Genomic DNA, 12,418 nt, shown 5'->3' on the forward strand with positions numbered 1-12,418 from the left:
TTACAGGCGTGGGCCACCACGCCCGGCCTGTAACTAACTTTTCTACCGAGGCCAGTGCTTAGACAGGCTCCCTGCTGCTGTCAGAGCGAGTTGGGAATAGGACGGTACTGCATCCTGTCTCTGCACCTGACTTTAATGAGGGATGTGTGTGCCCTTATTCAGTGCTCTCTGGTAACCTCTAGGTTCCACATGAATAGATTTGGTTAGTAATGTGGGATTGGTTGGAGAGCGGCTGCTGAGTGCTTGTATCATTTGTTAGGCCTCAGGAACTCCCATGAGTGAAGGTGTCCAGTGGAAACTGGTTGGTTGGTGTCCAGCCAAACCCTCTTTGGAAAGGGCTCTGCCGGAGACAGGCCCGCCACACGTGCCTTTGAAAGATGTGGCTAAGGACATAACTGCTATGAGTGGAGGCAGTGTGATTATATGAAGCATCATCACAAATTTACTCCTTTAATAAACCTGCTGATATTCAGGAAGGGCATTCTCAATATTCCCTTTGTACTTCTCCTCAGTGTCAGGCCCAGGAAGCTGCAATTGGATACCAAAAAGGTATAAATGCCAGCAATGTTATCACCAACAATCTTGGTTGTTGCTTGGGCTGCGGGTTCCCAGGTCTTCAAGGGAAAGGCTGCTTATTGAAGATTTCATGCTCTGTACCAGTGGTGCAAAGTCAATTAGCACTCCAGTGAATCATTTTTCGTTCTCTCTCTTTTTTTTTTTTTTGAGACAGGGTCACACTCTATTGCTCAGGCTGGAGTGCAGTAGTGCCATCTCAGCTCACTGCAACCTCTGCTTCCTGGATTCAAGTGATTCTTGTGCCTCAGCCTCCCGAGTAGCTGGGATTACAGGTATGCACCAACACACCTGGCTAATTTTTGTATTTTTAGTAGAGACACGTTTTCTCCATGTTGGCCAGGCTGGTCTCAAACTCCTGGCCTCAAGTGATCTGCCCACCTCGGCCTCCCAAAGTGCTGGGATTACAGGTGTGAGCCAGCTGGCCCAGCCCAGTTAATGACTTTTTAAAAACATGCCCAGGAATATATACTAATCCTATCCAGAAGTCAACTCCCAGAGGTGGATTTAACTTGAAGCAAATGAAGCTTAAATTTCAGGGTCTCTCACTACCCAAATCCCTGCAAGACCTTATGTCCTAACTTATACTGCTAATTTATTTATTTAGTTTGTAAAGAGTGCCCTCCAAGTTGTATCAGCTTCATGCCAACAAAACCTGACCCTGACCCTGTTTACTGCCATTTCCAGTCATCAGTTATCTGCTAACTGATTGTCCAAGTTTCAGCTTTACCCAGGGCAACTCTTGCTCTCAGAAGTATAGTTAACTATTTTCCTAGTTGTCTCCCAGTTCTTTTTTTGTTTGTTTGTTTTTTTGTTTTTTTAGCTCAGTTACCCAGGCTGGGATGCAGTGGCGAGATCAGAGCTCACTGAAGCCTTGTTGTTCGTTTGTTTTAATATTTATTTTCCACTTAGCTTGCAAGGCAAGGAGACTGTGAAATGCTCTGGTCTGTCCCTCGTGGGAGAATGTACGATAAAGAATGAAGTCACTAGGACTGATGCTTTGCACGGGGCTCAAGGGAGTTGTTCTCTCCAAGAGCACTAACGGAGGTGCAGGGACCAGAGGAGGCTCATCCAGTACTTCTGGAGAGGAAGCTTGTCTCTGTGTCTTCCCTTTTGTTTGAAATGAGCCCCTAGGACATAAACTTCACATGTAAAGGATGCAGATATTTCAAAGCCACCTGTAAAGGGTTTGGGGATCAACTCTACTGCTTCTTAGCTCTGTTAGTGAGGATCACTGGAAATGGACAGTATTTCTATTTTTGAATTTAACTGGAATTTGAAGGGTTGACAGTTTGGTCATCTCCTATTTTTCCGGAGAGTTTCCATTCTTTTTGTTTTTGTTTTTAATTACTTTTTTTCCAGATCAACAGAGCACAATGTAAGGAGTCTAATCTCTGAAGTTCAGCTCTGCTTTCGTGAAATCACATCACTTTTGCTTAATAACACCATCAGCGGTATGTGGCCGGGTTTTTATTCCAGTTGCTGTGTACTTAACAGAATAAATAAATGCTTAGGAATTGAATGTTTATCTCCCAGAAGCTACTTTGTATCCTTTTGATAATCATCTTAAATTCTAATTTTTTTAAAGTGGGAAAACACAGATAGGAAACTGTGTAATAAACACATTTATTCAACAAAGGCCTCTAATTATTCATTTATTATTGATACATTTTAATTCATGAAAGAAGAAATATTTTTACTAATATTTCTTGCAGCCAAAAATTTGTTATTGTTTGTGCATTTCTATAGGAAAGTTTGGAATTTTTTTTTTGAGGTGGGAAGTAATTGGTTTTTTAAGAAGAAATGTCCCTTTAACAGGCCAAATTGTGCAACTCTATAGTCACAGAGAAGGGCAGGCAAAGGCAGAGTGATTGCTAACTTACTTTTCCATTTTAAAGCTTGTAAATTGATTTTTTTAAACTTCATTTTTATAGAAATATGTTTCCACAGTTCTCATCTATAAATTATTTGCCCTGATAATTCATAGCCAGCTTTGATTTTTATTCTTTGGTTTTCAAACTCAGAAGCCCTGAAAAGAGTTTACATACATAGAAAAATTGTAAGTAAATCCAAAATCATCAAAGACAGATTAAGATTACAAGTAAAAACTCACCATGTGCTCCTTAAGAACAACCTTAGAAGCCAGGAGCGCTGGCTCACTCCGGTAGTCCCAGCACTTTGGGAGGCCGAGGTGGGCAAATCACCTGAGGTCAGGAGTTCGAGACCAGCCTGGCCAACACGGCAAAACCCCGTCTCTACTGAAAATACAAAAATCAGCCAGGTGTGGTGGTATGCACCTGTATTCCCAGCTACTTGGGAGGCTGAGGCAGGAGAATTGCTTGAACCCAGGAGGCAGAGGTTGCAGTGAGCTGAGATTACATCACTGCATTCCAGCCTGGGTGACAAGGCGGGACTCTGTCTCAAAAAAGGAAAAAAAAAAAGAATAACCTTAGAGAGTTAATTGGGTTTATCTTGTCAGCTACCTCCACAGTGCTAGGCAGGCATCTGATCAACATTAGAAATAACAGAAAAGAAAGGAGAAGGACGCAGACACTCTGGGTGACAGTGACATTCATGTAGTGTTTATATTGCAACCTAAGGTGCATTTACCACCACTCCTGAAAATAAGAAAAAAGCATGCAAATACCTGCACCAGAGAGTAAAACTGAAATATCTTTTTTAATTGGCTCAATTATTTTCATACTTCTGCCATCTATGGCAGATATTTGTGACATGTGACAGGAAAGTTCTCAGGTTAGGGATCAAAAAGTCATTGACAATTGCAATAGGATATATTATGAAGGAGGAAAAAGAGTGCTTATTCTTTATGGAAAGAAAATATCTCATGCCCCATATTGGGTAATATCTGCCTTCCAATTCTTTCTTTTGTTTGGTGTCAGAAAACAAATTGATGCAACTTGCTTATGCTCTCTGGTAAAAAAAATAAATAAATAAGAAAGGAAGAAAGAAAGAGAGAAAGAAGGAAGGAAGGAAAGGAAGGAAGGAAGGAGAGAGAGAAAGAAAGAAAGAGAAAGAAAGAAAGAAAGAAAGAGAAAGAAAGAAGAGAAAAGAAAGAAAGGGAAAGGAAGGAAGGAAGGGAGAGAGAGAAAGAAAGAAAGAGAAAGAAGGAAGGAAAGAAAGAGGAAGATAAAGAAAAAGAAAGAAAAAAGGAAAAGAGAGAAAGAAAGAAAAAGAAAAGAAAGAAGAAAGAAAAAAAGAAAGAAAGAAAGGAAGAAAGGCACATTGAGGCCTCAGCTCACATGAGGGGTAGAGATGGGAGTTTTAGTTAAAGGGAGTTTTGTAAAAGGCAGCATTGCTTCTGATCACAAAATCCTGCCATGTTGTGTAAAGTTCATTGCTGGAAGCTGATTTTTACCTAACTTTTATCATCCGTAAGAGTTATAGACATATATTTGGTATGTTGGTACATATGTTGACTAAAATGCAATACTTCATATAAAATAAAGATCCATTTGTATAATAGGATTATAGAGTATTATCATGTAGCGTATATATGCAAGACTGTTTTTTCTTCCCATGCATACAAATTCATCTCAATGCCTACCCTTCTTCACTCTTTTAAAAACCTATACAATCTTGTAGATGTCTTCATTGACTCTTGCATATGGTTGTTCTGTGTGTTTCCACTAGAGGCGAACTTAACTTGGTGTAATGAATTCTGTTAGCTTTCATAAAGATAACATACCACGTGACACGAGGTTCTGGCCAGCCTGCTATGGAGCAATGCAATTTTACATTCTCCTTCTCCCAAACCGTGTGGGAGCGAGGTTTAATGATAAACTCAGGAGCATGGAGAAGATGGTCTTCATTCAGCTTGGCATGATATGTCTCGGTTTCTTCTAACTGAAAAAACAAATATGCAAACAAACATATTACCAAAATACCAATAAATCAAAGTGAATTTTGGTGCTAAAATAACAAGTAGAAGGCAAAAGTTTTATTTTTCCATTTGGAAGCTTAATTTTTTGTAGAGAAAATGCACTCCCTTCTCCCTTTTAAGAACAGAGGTAGTTATTTGACATTTAACATTCTAAGCTTAAGCAACATCTTTGATTTCTTTTTCTTTTTTTTTTTTTTTTTTTTGGCCCGGACTGGAGTGCACTGGTGCAACCTGCATCACTGCAGCCTCTGCCTCCCAGGTTCATGCGATTCTTGTGCCTCAGCCTCCCGAGTAGCTGGGATTACAGGCATGCACCACCATGCCTGGCTAATTTTTGTATTTTTAGTAGAGATTTTAGGGGTTTCACCATGTTGGCTAGGCTGGTCTCGAACTCCTGTCCTCAAGTAATTCTCCTGCCTTGGCCTCCCAAAACTGGGATTACAGGTGTGAGCCGCCACACCTGATCATATTTTACTTCTCCAAGGTGGATTTCTTAAGGCTCTCTAAAATCTTTAATTTTCTTAAAACCTAAAATTCCATGGAGTTTAAAACTATTGTTTGCTTTCTTTGACCTACATATTAATATTTTAATGTCTTTCTCCTTGTTTTCTTACGTTTTGTTTCTCCAAAAGACCACATATTCTTCATTTGAAACAAATCAGCTGGGTGCAGTGGCTCACACCTATAATCCCAACATTTGGGGAGGCCGAGGTGGGTGGATCACTTGAGGTCACGAGTTCAAGACCAGCCTTGCCAACATGGCGAAACCCCACCTCTACCAGAAAAAAAAAAACAACAACGAAAATTAGCTGGGTGTGGTGGCACGTGCCTGTAATCCCAGCTACTTGGGAGGCTGAGGCAGAAGAATCGCTTGAATCCGGGAGGCGGAGGCTGCAGTGAGCTGAGACTGCGCCACTGCACTCCAACCTGGGGGACAGAGTGAGACTCCATCTCAAAAGGAAAAAAAAAAAGAAACAAATCAATCTATATCTACACACACACACACACACACACACACCCCTTATGACATGCATTTCCACCTTTGTAAGTTACTTTAAACTGTCTTTTCTTACTGTTTTCCTCAGGGACAGGCGTTCTGCCTTTTCTCGAATCACAACTTTCCTTGACTTCTTTTCAGAAGTTTCTTCCTGTTGAAGAGCGGATGTGGCCTGTTTGGAAACCACAGACTGCCTGGATGCCGTGGACTGCCTGGATGCCGTGGACTGCTTGGATGCTGTGGACTGCTTGGATGCCGTGGACTGCTTAGATGCCGTGGTCTGCTTGGATGCCGTGGACTGTTTAGATGTTGTGATTCCTTCCTCACTAGCAAGAAGATTCCTCTGGGCTATATAAGCAGCAGCTTCTTTAATTCTTTCTTCTTCCGTATCAGTAATTCCACTGACATGCTTTTGACTAAAACACAACAATGGCAAAATGTAGATGTTGTGGATGGCAGTGATAAGATTGAGTAATTTTACTAAGTTCAAAGTACCACATCTCAGACACTGTATCCTGCACCAAAAGAAAATCCGACATAGAAAAAGCAGGTGAATCAGAAGCTGACACTTCATGTACAGAAGTATTCCTCACCTTAACAAATAACAACAATAATAACACCTATGATGGCCCTGGTGCTTTTCACATACACTATCTTGTTTCATCCCCTTACAAACCCTATGAGATAAACTTTTTTTTTTTTTTTGATATGGAGTCTCGCTCTTGTTGCCCAGGCTGGAGTGCAGTGGTGCGATCTCAGCTCACTGCAACCTTGGCCTCCTTGTTCAAGCAATTCTCCTGCCTCAGCCTCTCAAGGAGCTGGGATTACAGGCTCCTGCTACCATGCCTGGCTAATATTTTGTAATTTTAGTAGAGACAGGGTTTCACCATGTTGGCCAGGCTGGTCTCGAATTCCTGACCTGAGGTGATCCACCAGCCTTGGCCTCCCAAAGTGCTGGGATTACAGGCATGATCCACCGTGCCTGGCCAAGATAAATTATTATTTCTGTTTTAAATATATGGTAACGAAGTTCAGATAAGTTAGATAACTTGGCCAAGGTCGTCTCACTGGTTGTCTTAGTGTGTTTAAACATGATTTTGTTTAAAATAAAAGATTATGGTTCCTTTCCAGAAAAGCTATATTGTCAAATGAGATCTAGTTTGTGTGCCTGTGACCCTGATACATGAGTAGGAGCTTGATCTGGGTTCTGTCACTTTGCTGATGTAATGCATTGCCTGGAGTTGTTACAGGTATGAATAAGTTCTGAATTTACATGAGGTTCCTTATGCCTACTGGGTTTCTTTCTAAGATAATACATGTTGTGTGTGCATATACTATGTGTGTACCTATACTATATACTAAGAAATTATCAAACTTGTGATGGAAGTGGTGACGTTTATAAATGTGACTCGTTATTATTCATAATTGACAATAGTAAGGGAGTGGCAACATCCCAAGTGCAATGCCTACTGTGGCAGTTTATGATAGAATCTGTGCTGTGATTTATTCATGTCGTTTAAAAATATTTGAATTATTTTAACATATTTCAATGCCTTTTGTTGTTAACCCCCTCAAATGTTTCGTGAGAGAGTGTATTGATTACATCGAAGATTCTCTTGACATTGAGTCTCCTTAGACCTCTTAAGACAGAATCGTGCATTCTAAGAATGATTACTTCAGAATGTAAGCAAATGCTGCCATTGTGTTAGCAAGTTCCTAGCATCTAAATCTATGCTGCTTGCTGAGGAATGAGATTCCACATTTGCCAAGATTGGGGTTTCTCATGGACTATTCCTAAAACATCTGGCAGACGAGATGAGTCCACGTTGTTTCTGACTAAATGTAGTGAGTAAATTTTAAGTTTTTTTCTCTCTCCGTAAATATTAATAAGCTAATCCCTACTATGGATGTTAGTAATATGTCCATTATTATTTGGGGGGCAGGAAGAAGATGAAAGATTTTTAGCTTAGTGTCCTCACATAATGACCTCTCATTCTTTTTTGAACAAGATAGGAAATGAATGAATTACTAACTGAATACAAAACAAACCATCAGGAGAATTTGCTTGGAATTCTCTATGGAAGTCAATATGCAATAGGGAGATGTGAAATGAGCTTTGTGAGCTGTTTCAATTCATGTAATGATGGATCATATTCAGTGCTAGTCTTGCCCCAGGCTCCAAGTAAGAGAACTTTATGTTTAAGTTCTCATTACTACTGATACTGGATATGTTGGCACAGCTCTAGAGGGCCAAATGAAGTGATAGTCTCCTTGCCTTTTCCATTTACAAAGAAGCTAAACTTCGAAAAAAAACTAATTATTTCACACGAGAACTCAACTACAGTTAAAAAGTATGTTAGACCCAGGCAATAGGGATATTCTCCTTTAAGTAAAAGTCAGGATTTATCAGTGATAACCCTTCTATAATGTGGACACAAAAGCAAAACTGTGAGGCTAACATGTTGACAAAAGTATACTACTACAAAGTAAAAATAAATTTAAAATCTCCCGGTACTCTGCGAATCTCTGACAGTCTCAATTCAAAAATCTCTTGTTGACACAAAGTTTACTCGATTTATTGGAATATAAGTGGAAATTTCAGGTGCCATGCAGAGGAAATGGTATTTTCCAGAAGCACACTGTGAGTGCAGAGGGCATGTCCACTGCATTCGCCAGGCCTACGTGGGACTTTCAATTCTTTACCTCCCAGGCATGCAGCTTTCAGCAAGTCACTCTGCCATGATTTCCTTGTCCAAAACGTTGATATATTAATATCTCTGCAGGGTTGTATGGAGAATTTAGCAAGATGGTTTATATAAAGCACCTTGCGTGAGTCCCAGCAAATAATAATAGACACTCAACAAATGTTCATTTCTTTTCCATCCTCTCCTCAGATTGTTAATACTGCCAAAACCACTGTGAAATGTTATTTTTGACACAGTAACAGAGTATAGGTGATGACATCATATAAGATATAATGGAGAACTAGAAATAAAGCCTAGAAGATCAATTTTTCTTCACATCTTTTTTTTTTTTCTTTTTGAGATGGGGTCTCACTCTGTGGCCCAGGCTGGAGTGCAGTGGCGTGATCTCAGCTCACTGCAACCTCTGCCTCCCAGGTTTAAGCGATTTTCCTGCCTCAGCCTCCCGAGTAGCTGGGACTACAGGTGCCCGCCACCACGCCCGGCTAATTTTTTTGTATTTTTAGTAGAGACCGGGTTTCACCGTGTTAGCCAGGATGGTCTCAATCTCCTGACATTGTGATCTGCCCGCCTCAGCCTCCCAAAGTGCTGGAATTACAGGCATGAGCCACCGTGCCTGGCCTCACGTCTTCTTTTATCACAGTGTATTTGTAAATGATCACTTCTTGAGATTGGCCCGGAAGAGAAAAATAGTTTGGTGTGGACAGAGCAGGGAGAAGATGTTAGGAGTAAGAAGCTTCATTTTGTGCCCTGCCAGGTGGAGTCATGTCACGTAGGCTGGTGTTAAGCTGATGTGGTTTTTAAATGATTTTTTGAAACAGAGTGGGAAAAATACTGGAGACAAAAGATTTTACCGCTCTAGCCTACCATCTCTTATAAGGAATGCGAGTTACATTAAGCTACTGTGAAGAGGTCAAAAGGCTGGGCATCCATACTTAGCAGTGAAAACATGTTTGTCTGGAAAGTTCACTTAAAAAAATCAGAGATAGCAAAGATATCAAATAAAAAGCTAAAAATAGAATGTTATTTATCCCTTTACCTTCCTAATTGGGTTCAGAGCAATTATGACATTAGCCTCTGACACAAGTCAGAAAGGAACTGTCAGAGGGCAATGGAAAGAAAAACACAGGCAACAGAAGTAGGTCACCATCAATCACAACCAAATTATTTCCTGACTTCCAAGAGGATCTACTTTTCCATGACATTTGCTCTTAGAGGATGGCCTCACTTTGAGTGTCACCTGAGCTATGGGAATAACTCTCTGTTCAAAGAGAAATAAATAGGAGATGAACCAGAAAGCTCCTGTTGAGCTTTAATCTTGGTGTCCAGGACAAGTTTCCTTTCAAGATTCCTTTAAATATTATTACTGCTCAAAAATAATGTTTATGCAATAAAGATAGAAAAGTGGCATCACACAGACTTGTGATTTAGTGATTATTTTGTCTGAAGTTTACCTCAAAGTAAATAGCAATCTATTTCCCATTGAACAAGGCATTCAAATTATGATGAGATTTTTTCCCCCAATGAATAATAATTAAAACCACATTGATAACCAAGATATTTTTCAGCTACCTAAATGTGTCATCTTGGGTTTTTTTTTAAAAGTTCACCCAGGCCAGGTGTGGTGGCTCATGCCTGTAATTCCAGCACTTTGGGAGGCCAAGCAGGGAAGATCACTTGAGCCCAGGAGTTCAAGACCAACCTGGGCGATATAGTGAGACCCCATCACTACACATAATTTTTTAAAAAAATTAGCTGGGTGTGGTGGCTCGTGCCTGTGGACCCAGCTACTTGGGAGGCTGAGGTAGGAGGATTGCCTGAGTCTGGGAGGTTGAGGCTGCAGTGAGCTATGTTTGTGCCACTGCACTCCAGCCTGGGTAACAGAGTGAGACCCTATCTCAAATACATAAATATATATACATATACATACATATATATATGTATATGTACATATACATATATATGTACATATACATATATATATATATACACACACACACACACACACAATAATAAAAATTCACCCAACATTTTGTAGTTTTTGAAGCTTTCTTTTTACTCTGGCTGTCCTGTCCAATCACAAGCATCCCAGGATCCACTTCCCATTCCAGCTAGTTTTATAAGCAGCATTAAGTTCTGATCATTCTTGTTTGTCATGTAACCATCCTACGTGATGGCAAAATTTCTGAAGAGGAAGTCCCTTTTAACACAGTTAACACATCTCTCTCAGTGCAGGGTTCCCAGCTTCCTCAGATCTGAATCAGTATATAGTAAGTGCTTAATAAAAGGTTAGCTGCTTTTACTATAATCTAACAAGTGCTCAATAAATGTTAGCTGCTATTTCTATAATCTGTCCACAACAATTATGACTATAATCTGCCATTCCTATAGCACTTACTATATACTTCTTAAAAATTAAAGCCAGGAAGAAAAAGCACACTCACCGTCCTGAGAAAATGGGTACCATGTAGTCACTGGGCAAATTTTCTTTCTCTTCTCCAGACAGTAGGCTGTGCTTGGCTCTCTTTGGTTTGGGGCTCAACTTGGATGAATAATCATCTAACAGCAGACTGGAATCTGTAAGTCTGAAATAAACCACCTAACATCAGACAGTAACAAAAAAAGGCATTTACAATATTCAAAATACGATAGAGGAAGTTTTAACTTGGGAGAAATTTTACCAAATCCTAGATCTCTAATGTTACAATTATCTCTTATCTTTAGAATTAAAGTAGAGTTAGAAAGATTTCAAATAATGGATTCTATATAGACAGAAAAGAAAAATAGTGATAATAACTTTATGGCTACAGTAATTGCATGGCTTTTTCCCCCACTTAAAGTTTCAAGGGAAAAGAGTGATGTTTTTATGATAGTTCTAAATGCCCTTTTGTGTTAATGTCATGTTGGAAATTTAGGCAGTCTATATAAATGGTTTGATACATGGTGCATCCAAATTCTTTTGGGAGCTTATTTAAAATGCATACTTTTCTAGACAGGTCCATCCTGATGTAGGACCCTTGGTTTACACTGAGACCTTTATGTATTATAGGCAACTCCTGCCTTTGAAGGGACGTGGGGCTTATTAAATGATAGAGTTAACATATTTTATGGGAACACACGATGCCGATTGACTCAGTGGTGCACACGGGTGCGATAAGGAAGCCTTTGGTCAGTTCTGGCTTCCTGTGCACACTGGTACAAATGTGCACTTGGAGGCAGGTAGTGTTCTAATAAACCAAAAAATTGACTAGGGAAGTGGAAAACATGAGAGCAGAGATAGCAGAGGAAAAGGACTGATGAAATGAAAAGAATAGTCTTAATTTATATAGCTCTTGAATGAAATGAAATGCATTTTCATACAAACATAAACAATTTGGCATAAACTTCAGGAGTTCATGAACTCCCTGAAGTCAATCCATGAACTTGGGGCTAAAAGTCCCTGATCTACACATTAAGAAAGATGTTAACAATAGGGATCTGTATGGGAACCCTCTGCACTATCCTTGTAATCATTTTGTAAATTTGAAACTATTCTTAAAAAAAAAAAAGTTAATGTATTTTTTAAGAGCCCCCGTCTAGAGAATCTCTAAAGACAAGGTGAACAGGGGTATTGTGGCATGGGAAAAGCCAAGCTGCCCAGTTGAAATAGAAAAACCTTCCAAACCATCCAAACCTTGACCATTTCCTAATCTTGGAAAATCATTTGAAAAAGCAAAAGGGATTACCTAATCAAAAGCAGAAGAGAGGCCAAGCACATACATGGTACAAAATGGATATATGACGATGCGAGAAAACAAGTAGCACAGGACTTTGACATGCAGGGCAGGCAGCGGCCCCTTGAATCCTCCAGGGAGGTCGCATGGAAATGGCCAAACTCTTCCTTCCCCACTATCTACCACCTCCCCCAGTGGGGAATATCCATCTCTTTTTCTATGATGAGCATTAAAACTAAAGGTTAGAACTTTGAATTTAAGCTTGTGGATTGGTTACAAACTGGAAGCCAGGGTGACATTTGTTCCTGGCCAGCTGTCCTGGGCAGCAGCAAAACGACTGCATTCTATACCCCGGCAGGTCACAAAGTACAGGCTGTGCTTATACAGGTCTAAGTTTAAAGTGGTATTTTCCCTCACCTCTTTATTCCATTAGCATCCAAAATAACATACTTATGGGGCTTAAGAGTTTCATTTTTTCCCCTGTTTCCAGAACAGTTGGATTTCTAATTTCTCTCCTGTTTTTCTGCTTTTG

The 12,418-nt window shown here is 39.9% G+C and overlaps 1 protein-coding gene across 7 annotated transcripts in view; it reads right to left on the reverse strand.

The window, feature by feature from the left end:
• MYOM1 (myomesin 1) overlaps positions 1-12,418 on the reverse strand; it is a 180,570-nt gene that overhangs the window by 116,394 nt on the left and 51,758 nt on the right. For all 7 annotated transcript variants that reach the window (XR_935071.3, XM_047437910.1, XM_047437911.1 and 4 more), the window contains 3 exons: positions 10,618-10,758; positions 5,548-5,887; positions 4,280-4,437 (listed from right to left, as the gene is read on the reverse strand). Coding sequence is in view for 6 of the 7 variants with exons in the window: in XM_047437910.1 (XP_047293866.1) it covers positions 4,280-4,437; positions 5,548-5,887; positions 10,618-10,758 (639 nt within the window). In the remaining variant the exon portion in view is untranslated. The remainder of the gene's footprint in view (positions 1-4,279; positions 4,438-5,547; positions 5,888-10,617; positions 10,759-12,418) is intronic.

This window comes from Homo sapiens, chromosome 18 (genome assembly GCF_000001405.40).
Source record: "Homo sapiens chromosome 18, GRCh38.p14 Primary Assembly".
NCBI classification, from domain to species: domain Eukaryota; kingdom Metazoa; phylum Chordata; class Mammalia; order Primates; family Hominidae; genus Homo; species Homo sapiens.